The sequence below is a fragment of the Homo sapiens genome, chromosome 2, assembly GCF_000001405.40.
Source record: "Homo sapiens chromosome 2, GRCh38.p14 Primary Assembly".
NCBI classification, from domain to species: domain Eukaryota; kingdom Metazoa; phylum Chordata; class Mammalia; order Primates; family Hominidae; genus Homo; species Homo sapiens.
In genome coordinates, this window is record NC_000002.12 from 208,045,482 (window position 1) to 208,063,449 (window position 17,968).

At 39.9% G+C, this 17,968-nt stretch overlaps 2 pseudogenes; both read right to left on the bottom strand.

Annotated features, from left to right (window-relative positions):
- On the bottom strand, window positions 8,680-8,777 carry RNA5SP116 (RNA, 5S ribosomal pseudogene 116; annotated as a pseudogene).
- Window positions 11,721-12,352, bottom strand: RPL12P17 (ribosomal protein L12 pseudogene 17; annotated as a pseudogene).

Here is a 17,968-nt window from a genome sequence, read left to right on the forward strand (position 1 = left end):
CTCTATCACCTAGGGTGGAGTGCAATGGCATGTTCGTAGCTCACTGCAGCCTCGAATTCCAGGGCTTAAGCAATCCTCCCACCTCAGCCTCTGGAGTAGGATCTATAAGCATATGCCACCACACCTGGCTAATTTCCTTTATTTTTATTTTTATTTTTTTTTTTTGAGACGGAGTCTCGCTCTGTCGCCCAGGCTGGAGTGCAGTGGCAGGATCTCGGCTCACTGCAAGCTCCGCCTCCCGGGTTCACGCCATTCTCCTGCCTCAGCCTCCCAAGTAGCTGGGACTACAGGCGCCCGCCACTACGCCCGGCTAATTTTTTGTATTTTTAGTAGAGACGGGGTTTCACCGTTTTAGCCGGGATGGTCTCGATCTCCTGACCTCGTGATCCGCCCGCCTCGGCCTCCCAAAGTGCTGGGATTACAGGCGTGAGCCACCGCGCCCGGCCATTTCCTTTATTTTTTTGTAGAGATGAGGTCTCACTGTGTTGCCCAGTCTGGTTTTGAAGTCCTGAGATTTATTTCATCTGGAACATGTATTAGCACTTTTGATCTAGTTAAACAACTTCACTCATTCATTCATACGCATTCATTTTCTTATATCAGACTTCTATTTTACAGTGGTTCTGACTTATTTTTTTCCTAACTCAACTGAAGCACACAATACAGCCCAATTAGCAGACACTAATTACTGCAATTTAAAAGTACGCCAGCCCATTGGGGCCATTCTCATCATGTGCCCACCCAGGCTGTTATCACACTCTCTCATCTCCACCCTCCAGTGGAGAATCACTCTCCTCTCATATCCCTGGTGAGTGTGTCTTTCCACTGATTCTGAGTTCTTAAGAAATGTCAGTTGACTCTGTTTTTCGCTCTTTAGCCTTCATTTCTACCATCTTATCTTTATCATTCATTGTCCTTTTTTTCCCTGTATTTTGGGAAAGTTATTTAACTTGTCCTTGTCACTACAGCATCAGTTTTGCTACGCTTCCAACATTGTGGTGTTTTGTTTTGTTTTTGAGTCGGAGTCCCACTGTGTTGCCCAGGCTGGAGTGCAATGGCATGATCTTCGGCTCACTGCAACCTCCACCTCCCGGGTTCAAGCAATTCTCCTGCCTCAGCCTCCTGAATAGCTGGGATTACAGGTGTCCACCACTATGTCCGGCTAATTTTTGTATTTTTAGTAGAGACGGGGTTTCACCATATTGGCCAGGCTGGTCTCTTGGCCAGGCTGGTCTCGAACTCCTGACCTCATGATCCGCCAGCCTCAGCCTCCCAAAGTACTAGGATTATAGGAGTGAGCCACTGTGCCTGGCCTGTTTTTTTTTTTTTTTTTAATTCCAGCACACAAGAATTTCCTTGCAATCTTTCTTCATTACATCATTCTTCCTTTAATAAAAATCTTGTTGTGGCCAGGCATGATGGCTCATGCCTGTACCCAGCATTTTGGAAGGCCGAAGTGGGAAGATCGTTTGAGCTCAGGAGTTCCAGACCAGCCTGAGCAACAGAGTGAGACCCTATTTCTAAATAAAATAAAATAAAATAAGATAAAATATTAGCTGGGTGTGGTGGCTCATGCCTATAGTCCCAGCTACTTGAGAGGCTGAGAAGGGAGTAACGCTTGAGCCCAGGAGTTTGAGGCTGCAGTGAGCCATGATCGTGACGCTGCACTCTGTCTCAAAAAAAAAAAAAAAAAAAAAAAAGATTGTCTATGGTATGGTCTGAATGCTTGCATTCCCCAAAAATTTATATGTTGAAATCCTAACCCTCAAGGTGAAGGTATTAGGAGGTAAAAGGCCTTTGGGAGGTGATTAGGTCATGGGATGGAGTCTTCATGCATTGGATTAGTGTCTTAATAAAAGAGGCCTGAGAGAGGCCCTTCCCTCTGGCTTCTTCAGCCACGTGAGATTACAGTGAGAAGACGGCTGTCTAAAGGGAAGCAAGCAGGCCTTCACCAGACACCGAATCTGCCAGTGCCTTGATCTTGGACTTCCAAGCCTAGAGAACAATCAGAAATAAATTTCTGTTCTTTAAAAGCCACCCAGTCCATGGTGCTTTGTTAGAGTAGCCTCAACAGATGAATACATTGCATTTTTCATTTCATCCTTATGTCTTGATTTTATTCCTTTCTTTTAATAACTCCTGGCCCTTCCCTTAAAAAAAAAATAATCCTTCTTATACCTTTGGAGACTTCCAGTTCCCTGAAGTTTCCTTCTGTATTCTACAGTAGATCAATTCCTGGGGCAAGCTCTACCCTGGAACCTTCTGGAAGTTGTTTCCTTTTTCCTATTCTGCAAGTGTCTCCAAGGCTGCAGTGTTTTGCCCTCTTTACTCATCCTTGAATAAGGTAAGCTACGTCTAGACTGAAGGTTTATTATCAAACAAGCTCTTGAATCCATTCTCTGTCAAGTGGAATAATGCTGGAGCCCTCTTCTCAGACACATCCGGAGAAGAGGTCACCTCTGTAGCTGTCAGGTCAGTTTCCAGGTTTCAGTCAGCTTTCCCCTACCTGCTCTCTGGCAGCAGATTTCACTGGTGCTCACTCCTCGATTATGCCTTGACCTAGCCCCTCCCTTTCTTCCCCTCAGAGCTAACACTATGCCAGTGTTTGTCATAATCCTCTCTTTGCTTTTATTTCCTTTCTTTCTCCCTTCCCTCCCCTCCCCTCCCCTCCCATCCCGTTCCCTTCCCTGCCCTGCCCTGCCCTGCCCTGCCCTGCCCTGCCCTTCTTTCTTCTTTTTTTTTCTTTTTGAAACAGAGTTTCATTCTTGTTGCCCAGGCTGGAGTGCAGTGGTACATCTTGGCTCACTGCAACCTCCGCCTCCCCGGTTCAAGCGATTCTCTTGCCTCAGCCTCCCGAGTAGCTGGAACTACACGTGTGCACCACCACGCCCGGCTAATTTTGTATTTTTAGTAGAGACAGGGTTTTACCATGTTGGCCAGGCTGGTCTCCTGACCTCAGGTGATCCGCCTGCCTCGGCCTCCCAAAGTGCTGGGAATACAGGCTTGAGCCACGGCGCCTGGCCTCTTTGCTTTTATTTCTATAGTTGTATCATTTATACAGCTATAGTTGTATAGTTGTATCACATCACTTAGGATGTGATAAGCATCCCTAAATAATGTAATTAGTATTTCAAGAAATTTGAATGCAAGTTTATATTTTGCTTTTTTTCTTCTTATTATTATTGTTATTTTTCTCATCATTCCTATTCAAGGAAGTTTTTATCTTGGGAGGACTTGCTTCTTTCAATTTAATGTGCCAATGCCCTGCAGTCCAACAGGAAAACTCCTGCAGTTGAAGAAATTGAGTTCGTTACTCATTATAGTGAGGGGGAAGCACAGCATGGGGAAGGAGGGGGCATCTCAGTAAGAGAGTGTCAGGATATCTCAGTAAGAGGGTGTCAGGACATCCTAGTAAGAGGGTGTCAGGACTCATTGTAGGATTTGGGCTTCTGTTAGGTAATTTTGGGGAGAGTTTAAGGAACAAGGACTTTGCTCTGGATTAGATACTGTCAGGAGCACTGAGTATCGCACTAAATCTTATCTAGAAGGAGGGAAGGCTAGACCAAGGCTAATGCTGTAATTGGGAAAAAAGCAGCAGTCCCTCATATTAGCTAGAATAAGAGGGTACTTAGTCATTTTTGTGGTCTGGGCAATATCCATGTTTTGTCTGTGGTCAGATGTGATTACAGAGTAATCTTGTTTTTGTCTTTATCATGGTCACAGTGTGGCCTTATCTGGTGTTATGTTACATGAAATTACTTACTTTCAACAGGTGAACACCAATGTTTAGTTGTGAGCGGCCATCTGATAGCACGAGCACAGCTGCTGGATATTAGGGGTTGCTTTTCCTTTTTTTTTCTCAAATGTTGATGGGATTCATCCATGTCGTTACATGTAGCTATGGTTTATTCATTTTCACCACTCAGTAGTATTCTCTTGTATAGAATACTATTAAGCATTCCATATACAGTATAATACATTTGTGTGTATTACAATACAACCATTTTTATTTATTTGCTCTACTCTTGATGGACATTTGAATTGTTTGCAGTTTTGGACTATGACAAGTATGCTGCTATGAATATTCTTGTACATGTCTCGTGGTGCACATGCTCAAGGAATTCTATAGAGTATATATTTAGGAATGGAATTGCTTGGTCATAAGGATGTTACAACAGTCCCCCCAACATGTGGTTTTGCTTTCTGTGGTTTCAGTTACCCATAGTCAACGTCTGAAAATAGGTGAGTACAGTACAATCAGATATTTTGAAAGAGACCAAATTCATATAACTTTTATTACAGTATATTGGTATTATTGTTCTATTTTGTTAATTGTTGTTAATCTCTTACTGTGGCTAATTTATTATTCATAGGTATGTATGTATAAGGAAAAACATAGTATACATAGGGTTCAGTACTATCCGCAGTTTCAAGCATCCACTGGGGATCTTGGAACATATCGCCTGCAGGTAAGGCCCCAGGGAACACTTTAATCTTCAACTCTTTACTGTCAAACTGTTTTTCCAAAATACTTGTTACAGTTTACCTCCCTCTCCCCATCTGCCCACTGCTTAATTGTCTGATACTTGGAGCTTAACGCAGTGCACGGAAAATTGCGAGCCCCGGAATTCACTGCTGCAGTATTCTGGGGCTTGCAATTCAGTATTCTCAGCGCTTTACTTAGGGGGACCAGAACTTTCCCTGCCACATACTTTCTGCTTCATTTAAAATTGGAGACTCTTGAAAAGTTTTAAATGGAGATGGGAAGGAGCCAGTAAAGAAAGAGAGATTGAGGATACAGGGGAGAGAGACAGTAATCTGCAGAGAGAGGATCTTGGTCAGGTGAGAGAGGACAAAATGGAGGCACTGGCATTTCTTCCATTGCAAAGTAAACCATAAATAATGCCTGGATGAGCTTACAAGGAAGTCGCCATAACTGTGATTACTCTTACTAGACTTGGGATGGTCAGGGAAGGCTCTAGATAAAATGTTGTATTGAAGTTGGACTTCGAAGTCAGGCTATAATGGATATGGGCAGAAAGAAAGGGACGGGCTGATTTAGGGATAAAGCAAAAATCTCATAAAGCAAATGCTGGTGTGGAGGGTAAAGTTGTGGGAAATAATACTGGAAAGATACTTTTTTTTTTTTTTTTTTTTTTTTTTAAATAGAGATGGAGTCTTGCCATCTTGCCCAGGCTGATCTTGAACTCCTGGACTTGAGCGATCTTCCCACCTTGGCCTCCCAAAGTGCTGAGATTACAGGTGTGACCAACCATGCCCTGCCTGGAAAGAAAGATTTGAACAGACCAAGGAAGGTGTGAAACCTGGGCTGAGGATGAAACCATTACCTGAGGGGAATGATATGGTTTGGCTCTGTGTCCCCACCCAAATCTACCTTGAGTTGTAATAATCTCCATGTGTCAAGGGTGGGACCAGGTGGAGGTAACTGGATCATGGGATTGGTTCCCCCATGCTGTTCTCGTAATAATGAGTAAGTCTCAGGAGATCTGATGGTTTTATAAGCATCTGGCATTTCCTCTGCTTGCACTTGCTCCATTCTACCACGCTGTAAAGAAGGTGCCTGCTCATCCTTTGCCTTCTGCCATGATTATAAGTTTCCTGAGGCCTCCCTAGCAATGTGGAACTGTGAGTCAATTAAACCTCTTTCCTTTATAAATTACCCAGTCTCGGGTATTTCTTTATAGCAGAGTGAGAACAGACTAATACTGGGAGTTTGAAGGCTTTTGTGCAAGAAAGTAATGGGATAAAACCAATGTTGAATGCTAGATTGGAGTAGTCTAGACATAATGTAGTTATACTGAAAAAGAAGGGTCAGGTCTTAGACACCCTAAGAAGGGAGAATTAACATCTTAAGAAGGGAAAATTAGGTCTGTAAACTGGTTGTTTCATTTAAGTAAAAGATCAGAAGGACAATTAGTCATTCAGTTTTAGATATGTTAGGTTGACCTTTGATTTTCATATCTAAAAATGTCAGGCAAATCAAATTATGGGTTCAGCAATCTGCTTCCAGTCAGTAACAGAGACATTAGACCATGAAACATACAAAGTAAACACTAACAACTCCCTCCACTCCCATCCCTCCATTAAAAAACAAACAAACAAACAAAAAAACCCACCTCATTTTGTAGCTTTTGTTGATTTGCCTCCTAGTAACCAATCAGGAGGCAGTTCAGTACCTCTCTCTTCAAACAGTTACTTACGTATGCTCCTAGAAAGAAAAAAATAACTATGAAGCCATATTTATATAGATGTATACTTTTTAAATTTATTCAAGTGGTTTTGAATTCTGTGTCTACCACTAAGTTACCATGCAATCTCTGGCAGGTCGCTTAAACCTATTTGTGCCTCTCAGTGTCACCATCTAGAAAATGAGGGTGATGATATAAAAATATAGGGTTCCAAAGAAGATTAAGTGAGTTATTGAATGTAAAGGACTTAGAAGAGTGCCTGTCACATAGCAAAAGCTCAGTAAATATTTGTTATTTTTATTGTTTTCTTGGAGATCCTTTCATATCAGCCCATATAACTATAATATTTTTAAAAGGCTGTATAAAGCCGGGCATGTGGCTCATGCCTGTAATCCCAGCACTCTGGCAGGCTGAGGCGGGTGTATCATTTGAGGTCAGGAGTTTGAGACCAGTCTAGCCAACGTGGTGAAACCTCGTCTCTACTAAAAATATAAAAATTAGCTGGGTGTGGTGGCATGTGCCTATAATCCCAGCTACTCAGGAGGCTGAGAGAGGAGAATCGCTTGAACTCAGGAGGCGAAGTTTGCAGTGAGCCAGGATTGCGCCATTGCACTCCAGCCTGGGTGACAGAGTGAGACTCTGTCTCAAAAAAAAAAAAAAGAGAAAAGAAATAAAATAAAAAATAAAAGGCTGCATAATAGTCCCCAGAATGGCTAGCTCCAGATTTTCAGATTTTTCTATTATAAACGATATACTTGTACATCTATATTGGCAAGTTTTTGCAAGTATATCCATATGGTAATTTTTTGAATTGCAGAATTAAAGGATGTGGTGTATTTAAATTTTGAAGGATATTGCTAAATTGTCCTCAAAAAAGTGTACCAATTTGCACTCCTACCAATACAGCATGAGAATGACTGTGTCTGTATTCTTAACAACATTTATTATTATCTAGCTTTGTAATATGATAAACAAATTCAAATCGCTCATTGGTTTTTTTTTTACATAAGCTTTTAAAAAATAACAGCTTTATTAAGATATAATTCATATGCCAGGCAGTTTACCCATTTGAAGTGCACAATTCAATGGTTTTAGTATTTCACAGAGTTGTGCAAGCATCACCACAATCAATTTTCATGACCTCCCCCCAAAACTGTATCTATTAGCAGTCACTCACCATTTTCCCTCTAGTCCCACCCCCTCACGCCTTAGGCGACCATGAACCCACTTTCTGTCTCTCTGGATTTACGTATTCTGAGCATTTTATGTCATTGGAATCATAAAACATATGCTCTCGTGTGTGGCATTTTTCACTTAGCATAACGTCTTCAAGGCTCATCCATGTTGTAGCACGTGTCAGTTTTTCATTCCTTTTTATGGCTGAATAACAGTCTTTTGTATAGATACAGCACATTTTGTTTATCCATTCATCAGTTGATGAGAATTTGGGTTATTTATACTTTTTGGCAGTTATTTAATAATTCTGCTTTTTATTGCCAGATAATATTTCATTATATGGATATACTCATTATTTTTATATGCAGTTATTTAATTGTGAATGAGACAAAGATTTTAATAGATTTGACCATTTTCTTTTTGATTTGTTTTTACTTACTGAGTTGTACAAGAAGTTGTATATTAATGATTTTCTTTGCTTGCCAAATGTTGCAATATTTTTTCCACTTTGTATATATTCACATTTTTCTCTTCCTTTAAGACTTTAGAATTGTGTGTCTTGCCTAGAAAGTCTTTTTATATTACATCTGTGTAGTGTGGGTATAAAAAATAAAACAAAAAAAATGAAGAAAAAATCTTATTATTTTATTTTACGTTTTCTTTTCTTTTTTTCTTTTTTGAGACAGGGTCTCACTCTGTTGCCCAGGCTGGAGTGCAGTGGCACAATTATAGCTCATTACAGCCTCAACTTCCTGTGTTTAAGCCATCCTCCCACCTCAGCCTCCCAAGTAGCTTGGACTATAGGTGTGCACCACCATGCCTGGCTGGTCTGCAACTCCTGAGCTCTAGCAGTCCTCCCACCTTGACCTCCCAAAGTGCTGGGATTACAGGTGTGGGCCACAGCACCCAGCCTAGAAATTATTTTTAAACTCCTGGATTATATATAAATAAACTCACCAATAAATGAATAAATTTATTTATTTATATATTTATTATATATAAATAAATTCACTCAAAACTCCTAATTATATATAAATTCACCAGTTTTTTAAAAACTCCTAGATTATATACAACTCCTAGATTAACATATATTTCATACTCCAGATTATATATAAATTCACCAACTATATAATCTAATATATATAATAGTAGTTCAAAACCAGTATATGTAACAAGTATAATATATACATATAAGTATATGTGTGTGTATATATATACTTATGCATGTGTATGTGTGTGTGTGTATATATACATATATATACACATATATACACTTACTTGTTTATATTACATTTCTCTCATCCAAGTATTAAGCAGGCCCCCAGACCTAACCCTGCTTAGCTTCTGAGATCAGATAAGATTGGGGGCATTCAGAGTGGTATGGCCATAGAGTATGTATTATATTGCTATCTTTGAATCCTCTGGAAATTTGGGAATATAAAGAGCATGGTAAAGAATCCATTTTATTTTATTTTCCATTCCTAGCCAGTTTTCTCATCACTGTCTATTGATTAATACATCTTCCCTTCTCCCATCCCTCCCCTATAAATTCGACTCATCTACCTTTTTCACACATTAAATCTGTATACGTATTTGGGTTTATTTCTGTTGATTCTCTTCTATTCCATTCTATTCTATTTAGCTATTCTATTTCTTCTCTAGAATAAGATATTTTAATTATTATAACTCCATGATACATTTTAATGTATAGTTGTATTAATTACCCTCTCACTACTCTTGTTTTTCAGAGTTTTTCTAATTGCCCATTTATATGTCTTGAAGAACTTTAGTGTTATTTTTGTCAGGTTGAAAAAAATCACCTTGGTGTTTTATTTGGCATATACATTGAATTTACAGATCATTTAAGGAAATCAATGTCTTTATAATGTGAATAGTCTCTCTTAATGTTGTAGGCAAAGAGGGAAAATCTGAAGAGGAAAAGGAAGAGGAGGAGGAGAAGGAGGTAGAGGAGGGGGAAGAGGGGAATAAGGAAGAAAAAGAGACAATTTCCTTCATAATTCACATTCTAAAATATGACGTAAATTGCATTTCCCTCTGAATAGCACAAAACACTTTTAAAACACCATCTCAGTCTCTAAAACATCTCAGCAGTATGCAATTACTATTGCTAATTGATAGACTAAAAGTTCAAGGCACAAACTTGGCCATGTTCTTTAACTTATATAATCATTCTAAAGTGATTTCTTTTCTTTTGGGTACTTATGAAGAACTGAGTGTAAATCTTTCCTGCCTACAGGTTTTTGGCAGCCCCTGCTGGAGTAAGATTATGTAATGGATAGGGGTAACAGCTCGCATATCTATATGCAAGCAATCTAATTGACAGCGACTTTATTCTGATGTAAGCTACTTTGCGAAAATTTGGACTCTTACCCCAACTTCAACTTTTATCCCACTGTCAAAATTATTTCCAGATTATCCAAAGTGATAGGTAATAAACAGAAAAATAGATTAACACTCATTCTTAGCTTCTTAGACCTCTTAATTTTGAACAGTTTCCTTTGGAGAATTGTAAAATTAAAGGTTATTTTCCCACAATTTTTCTCCTTCTAAATATTTGGATAACACACTAGGGTGACTAAATGGATACTTCGAGCCTACCACGAAGACGGCCAATCTGCAAAGCAAAGCTAAGAGAACAGGGAGTCCAAATGCACTTGGAGTACCTGGAAATTATACCTGGCAGCCAGCAACCTTTTGTGCTTCTTTGTTGTACTGTATTTTCTGGCAGCAGGCTTTCAAGGGTATCTTTATTTCACTGATTACTAAATTGTGTTGGATTTAATGAGAGAGATCTGTCCTTTTATTTGTGCCTTTTTCCCTTCTTCTTCTTACTTAAAAAAAAAAAAGGATCAGCATCACAAAAGCTTTGTACATTTCTAGTTTGCTTTTGATGATGTGACCGTTTGCTCCCATCTATCTCCATGGTAATAAGCTGTCTCTACCCCCACTTTTCGAAGCCTCAGATACTTAGGAAGCTTCAGGACTGGAGAAGAGTTGCATGTTAAAATAATGCAGAGAAATAAATTGGTCTCTGTAAATAGGCCCCATCTTCAAAGCCTTCGAATTTTCTTCAAAATGTGATCCATTTTTCTTAGCTTGAAAACAGGTGCATTTTAGATAAAATATTTGAAAGTAAATTTGCATCTCAGCAAATGCATCTCAGTAAGTGCCCCTATTCTAAAATAAGACTTGGGTAGGATTTTAAAACTGGAAGAGGCCTCAGGCTTCATTTAGTCCAAGATGCTTATTATATACTTGAGGAAACTCAGGCTCAAAGTATTTCACGGCTTTGTATCTAATCGTAACTTTGAACTGGGACTTATGCCTCCCAGCAAGGTATTCTTTCTTCTGTTACTAATATGTCAATAATAATTATTATTATGTTAATAACAATAGCTATTTTTAGTAATAAAAGAGAGAATTCACATAAGATGCTATAAAATGCCAGTAATTGTTATTATATCTGGCTAGGCAACTTTCCCAATAACAAAGGTTTTCAAAAGTTGATCTTTTAGTTTTCAAATTATGTTCTCTTAAAGAATACACTCATAGAAGTCGATATTTCTAAAAGATGATTATATATAAATATACATACACATACACATATATATTTGTAGTATATAAATAAAATATTAATAGTGATTATCTCAGTAGTGGTTAAAATTAATTTAAATGTCATTTAAAAAATAATATTCTGGTTGGGCATGGTGGCTCATGCCTGTAATCCCAGCAGTTTGGGAGGCTGAGGCGGGCGGATCACTTGAGGCCAGGAGTTGGAGACCAGTCTGGCCTACATGGTGAAACCCCATCTCTACTAAAAATACAAAAATTAGCCAGGCATGGTGGTGGGCACTTGTAATCCCAGCTACCCGTGAGGCTGAAGCAGGAGAATCGCTTGAACCTGGGAGGAAGAGGTTGCAGTGAGCCGAAATCGCGCCACTACGCTCCAGCCTGGACGACAAAGTAAGACTGTCTCAAAAAAAAAAAAAAATAGTCTGTATTTTTAAATTTTCTATGTAAAACTTGTATTACTTTTCTTATAATAAAAGAAGACTATATTTTTGGAAAAAAATATTCACACATTTGATGCTTAAAATGTAAATCATTCCTTCCTGGCCCAATCCCACTGTTCTTTTCCCACAAAATTCAAAATAATTTCATTCACAGTAGCTACAGATATTCTGCCCTGCTCTATGTACTATGACTTAGTGCTGGGGACTGGAATGACTGTGTCCCATCATTCACAAAATATCAGGGATTTTCACTTAGGCAGGGAGAATTGACTGCAGAACGCAAGGTGGTGTTTTTTTTTTTCCAGTTGTCAAATGATCCTTTATTGAAATATTTTCCTTTGTGCTTCTTAACTAGTTGGGCATTCCACAACAACACTGTTGATGTCATCTATGATGTCATGAGGTTGGTGGCCATCAACATTATGGCTCACAGACTGGGCAGTCTCCAGGATCTCCTTAATGGTTCCAGAGAGTTCTCTGGGTAAAGATGGGTGCTGCATCTGTCAAGCAATGTTGATGATCTCATCAAAAGTGATATTCCCACTGTGTTTAATGTTTTTCTGTTTCTTTCTGTCTCTTGGTGGTTCCTTGAGGGCTTTGATGATCAGGGCAGAGGCAGAAGGCACTACCTCAATCTGGGCCTGTCTGTTCTGAATGGTCAGTTTCACTGTAATTCTCAGGCCCTTCCAGTCACCCATTGCCTTGGCAATGTCATCACCAATCTTTTTTGGAGACAGACCCAGTGGGCCGATCTTGGGGTCCAGCGCAGACGTGGCACTGACTTCACCCCCAGTGCACCTCAGGTATACGACTTTGATCCCGTTGGGGTCGAACTTCTGCAGCATGGTGGAGGTGGCTGGTGATGGATGAACCCGGATTCAGGATGACGGAAGAAAGTTGCACCTTGGCCTCCTCCAAGCCAAGAGCCGAAAGAACCCAAGGTCTTTATAAGGTATATCCCTCTCACAGCTTTTTGTGGACTCATGTTTTACTTATTGTTTTGTTAAAAGCAATGGCAACAAAAGCCAAAATAGACAAATGGGATCTAATTAAACTAAAGAGCTTCTGTACAGCAAAAGAAACTACCATCAGAGTAAACAGGCAACCTACAGAATGGGAGAAAATTTCTGCAATCTACCCATCTGACAAAGGACTAATATCCAGAATCTTCAAAGAACTTAAACAAATTTACAGGAAAAAATCAAACAACCCCATCAAAAAGTGGGCAAAGGATATGAACAGACAGTTTTCAAAAGAAGACATTTATGCAGCCAACAGACACATGAAAAAATGCTCATCATCACTGGTCATCAGAGAAATGCAAATCAAAACCACAATGATTAGAATGGTGATCATTAAAGTCAGGAAACAACAGATGCTGGAGAGGATGTGGAGAAATAAGAATGCTTTTACACTGTTGGTGGGAGTATAAACTAGTTCAACCACTGTGGAAGACAGTATGGCGATTTCTCAAGGATCTAGAACTAGAAATACCATTTGACCCAGTGATTCCATTACTGGGTATAAACCCAAAGGATTTTAAATCATGCTGCTATAAAGACACATGCACAAGTATGTTTATTGTGGCACTATTCACAATAGCAAAGACTTGGAACCAACACACATGTCCATCAGTGATAGACTGGATTAAGAAAATGTGGCACATTACTATGCAGCCATAAAAAATGATGAGTTCACGTCCTTTGTAGGGACATGGATGAAGCTGGAAACCATCATTCTCAGCAAACTATCCCAAGGACAAAAAACCAAACACCGCATGTTCTCACTCACAGGTGGGAATTGAACAATGAGAACACTTGGACACAGGAAGGGGAACATCACACACCCCGGACTGTTTTGGGGTGTGGGGAGGGGGGAGGGGGGAGGGATAGCATTAGGAGATATACCTAATGTAAATGACGAGTTAATGGGTGCAGCACACCAACATGGCACATATATACATATGTAACAAACCTGCATGTTGTGCACATGTACCCTAGAACTTAAAATATAATAAAAAATATATATATATTAAAAAAAAGAAAATGTGGCACATATACACCATGGAATACTATGCAGCCATAAAAATGGATGAGTTCATGTCCTTTGTAGCGACATGGATGAAGCTGGAAAGCATCATTCTGAGCAAGCTATCGCAAGGACAGAAAATCAAACACCACATGTTCTCACTCATAGGTGGGAATTGAACAATGAGAACACTTGGACACAGGGCAGGGAACATCACATACCCCGGCCTGTCGTGGGGTGGGGGGATAGGGGAGAGATAGCATTAGGAGAAATACCTAATGTAAATGACAAGTTAATGGGTGCAGCAATCAAACACGGCACATGTATACATATGTAACAAACCTGCACGTTGTGCACGTGTACCCTAGAACTTAAAGTATATATATAAAAAAAGAGCTACTTTTAACTAAAAGAATAATAATTAATACTACTGAGAGCTTTTCACCTGAACACCTCAAAGCACTGCACATGCCTTAACCCCTTTATGGTCTCATTGAGGTATGTGTTTGCTCTTAAAGACTTTTCACAATTTCACAAGCAAAACTCAAATGATCCATTATATCTAAGAAGTCAAGGCAAACCCTCTGGGAATAAAGAGCTGCCTAGGAATAATAGTAGGGCTACCTTATGAGACATGGTGAAAGTCCTGGGCACAGTGTCTTGTGGATGGCAGATGCTGAAAAAAGGTCCCATGTTTCCAATGCAGAGATCACAATAGGGCCTGGTTATGCCTTTGAGGCCTCAGCCCATGAGGCCCACCAGGTAACCAAAGCACTGTGATCGTGCACCATCAGCCTGAATAGAGCCACTTGCAAGTTATAACTTTATCTCTGCTCCTGATTATGTGAAAAACGGCAAACAACTTTGTTTAACCTCCACTTACTTTTTTCCCCTCCTTGACTATAGTTGAAATCAGCTGTATTAGGCCATTCTTGCATTGCTATAAAGAAATACCTGAGACTGGGTAATTTATAAAGGAAAGAGATTTAATTGGCTCATATTCCTGCAGGCTATACAGGAGGCATGGTGCTGGCATCTGCTTGGCTTCTGGTGAATCCTCAGGGAGCTTTTATTCATGGTGGAAGGTGAAGTGGGAGCTGGCACTTCACACGGCAAAAGCAAGAGCAAGAGAGAGAGAGTGAAGGTGGGGGTACCACACACTTTTAAATTACCAGATCTCATGAGAACTCACTCACTATCTCCAGGACAGGTCCAAGCCATGAGAAATCTGCCCCCATGACCTTAACACCTCCCATCAGGACCCATCTCCAACACTGGGGATTACATTTCAACATGAGGTTTGGGCAAGGACATGTATCTAGATTATATCATCAACTAGATCCAAACAGCTTTTGCTATCAATGACAATATTTATTTAATCCCTCCCCCCTTTTTCTTTTGAGACAGGGTCTCGCTCTGTCATCCAGGCTGGAGTGCAGTGGCGTGATCACAGCTCACTGCAACCTTTGCTTCCCAGACTCAAGCAATTCTCTAGCCTCAGCCTCCCAAGTAGCTGGGACTACAGGTGTGAGCCACCATGCTTGGCTGATTTGTGTGTTTGTCTGTGTGTGTGTAAATGGGGTTTCACTATGTTGACCAGGCTCGAACTCCTGAACTCAAAGCAATCTGCCTACTTTGGCCTCCCAAAGTGCTGGGATTACAGGCGTGAGCCACTCCACCCAGACTATTTAATCCTTTTTGTTTGTTTGTTTGAGACAGAGTTTCGCTCTTGTTGCCCAGGCTGGAGTGCAATGGCATGGTCTCGACTCACTGCAACCTCCGCCTCCCGGGTTCAAGCGATTCTCCTGCCTCGGCCTCCCGAGTAGCTTACAGGCGTGCATCACCATGCCTGGCTAATTTTGTATTTTTAGTAGAGTCGGGGTTTCTCCATGTTGGTCAAGCTGGTCTCAAACTCCCAACCTCAGGTGATCTGCCCGCCTTGGCCTCCCAAAGTGCTGGGATTACAGGCGTGAGACACCTCACCCGGCCTTATTTAATCCTTTTTATAGAAGGATAATGCTTGAGACCTTCAGAAATGATCAAATGATGATTTGCCATATCTTCTTTCACATTTAGGTTAAACACTGTCCTGGGAACAACTCTAATTGGGGATGAAAGAAGAATAGAAAAGGACAATATAACTTATGCTAGGTTATTAAAACTTAGTGGGAAGTAACCAAGTATCTTGAATAATGTGTCTAAAATAGATCTCTATGGTTTTGCCCCAAACCTGCTCCTTCTCCAATAGTCACCTCTTTTTAATACATGGTACTGGTATTCGCCCAGTTACTCAAACCAAAAACTAGAGAGCCACCCTGGGCTCTTCCTCTCCCTCCACTCCCAAATTCAGTCCATCTGTAAGTCCTGTTAGTTTGTCTTCCAAAAAAATTCCCACATTCTTCCACTTTGCTTCTTTTTTTGTCCTCTGTGGTCCCCTGGTCCAAGCCCCTGTCATCTGTCACATGATCAGCACAGTGACTTCTGACCAGCCTCCCCCTTTCCCCCTCACTACAGTCCATTTTCTCCATGGCAGCCAAATTTAAAGATCACACGTGTCATACCCCTGCAAAAAAGCATCCTTTCTCGCAGAACAAAATCCAAACTCCTTTTGGGGAACCTGGAGTACCTACTTGCTCTAGGCACTGTGCACCTGAAGCCCTTTTTCTCCCTGTCTCTCCCTTGCTTTCTCTTCTGGCTGTGTGGCCCCCGGGCTCTGCAGATGCTCCTTGTGCATGGCAGGGTCTTCTCCAAGGACCTTCATGTGATTCCCCCATTCACATCATTCAAGTCTGCCCGAATTCTTTCTCCCCAGCAAGGCTTTCCCTCACTGTCCTATCCAAAAGGGCACCTTGCCCTTCATCTCCTTTCCCTGCCTTCTTCTTCCATACAGACCTCCTCACCCTGCAATTATGTTGTATCGTTCAACTTGTTTGTTTCTGCCTGAACTGTCTCTGTCTCTAGAATGGAATCTCCTCAAGCAGGGATGTGGTCTTTCTTGTAATCCACTAAGAGTTCAGCTCCAAGAGCAATTCTTCACATACGGAAGGTACTCAAGGAATATTTATAGAATAAATGAATGGTCTCATCTTAATCTTTTCTTCTCCTATGAGAGAGAACATTTTGGGAGTGAGGATCAATGTTAGACGTGATTAAGAGCCCTAGAGAATAAGAAGTTATAATAACATGCAGCAGATGCAAGAAAAAGCAAATTGCATTTTTGCCATGGATTGCTGTGGATATATCCAAGTGCTGCACATAGATATTTGGGCTGTAGATTTATGTGGCGTAGAGAGATGCTCACCCCAAAAGACACTGCACTAAATGCTGTGCAGGCTCACTATAATCAGTAAGTGCTTATCGCCCCCTTCAGGTGCTTATCTTCTTGAGAACAGAGACAGTGACTCATGTTATATTTTATTATAGTAATTTGCAAATAGCAGGTAATACATAAATATTTGCTAAATTGAATGACATTGATCCTTTCCACATCTGGAATGAATTTTTAGGTTCTGGTGTGCGTGTGTGTGTGTGTGCGTGTGTGTGTGTGTGTTTACATTCAAAATATCTATTTTGAAGTGATCAGATCTGGGGGCCTTGTTACTTCTTCCTAAGTCGATTTATCACAATTCCAATGAAAATACCACCAAACTTTCCTATGGAGCCAAACAAATTAATACTAAAGTTTATATTTTAAAAATAAGCAAGAATAGTCGAGAAACCAATAAAAAAGAAAAACTTTTAGCAGGGAGTAGCCTGCCACATATTAAAATATTCTATAAAGCCCCTAATAATTAAAACATTTCCTGTTCTTGGATAGGATGACTAAGCAGCACAAAGATGTCAGTTGTCCAAGTCAATTTATTAACGATCATAATCCCAATAAAAATAGCAGCTAGCTTTTTAAATGAAGCCATACAAGTTGATACTAAAGTTTATATGGAGAAACATGTAAAAATAGCCAGGGAAACATTTAAAAACACACAAAACTTTGAAGTAGACTAACAGATATTAAAACACACTATAAAGCCTTTTATAATTAACACACAGTGGTACTGTCCCATGACTAGACAAGTAGACTAATGCAGCAGAATAAAAAGTCCAGAAATAGAAAGAAACACATATGGTAATTGACTATATGAAGAACTGGCATCTCAAACCATTGGGTCAAAGATAAACTTTTGTTATTATTTTTTAAAATCTACCAGTTATCCTCAAGTTCTACAAAGATAAGCTTTTAAATAAACGGTTCTGGGACAGATGGTACATTTGGAAAAAGATAAAATTAAATTCATACGTCACACCATATTGAAGAATAAATTCAAAGTAGGAATCTAAATGTAAAATACAAAATCACACAAGTGCTAGAAGAAAACATGGGTGAATTCTTCTTTAACCTTGATATAGAGAAAGCCTCAAAATCTAGAGGCAATAAAAGAAAATGTTAATAAATTTGACTACATTAAAAATAAAAATAATTTTTTGGGGGCATGGCTAAATACCCCACTGTAAACAAAGTCAAAA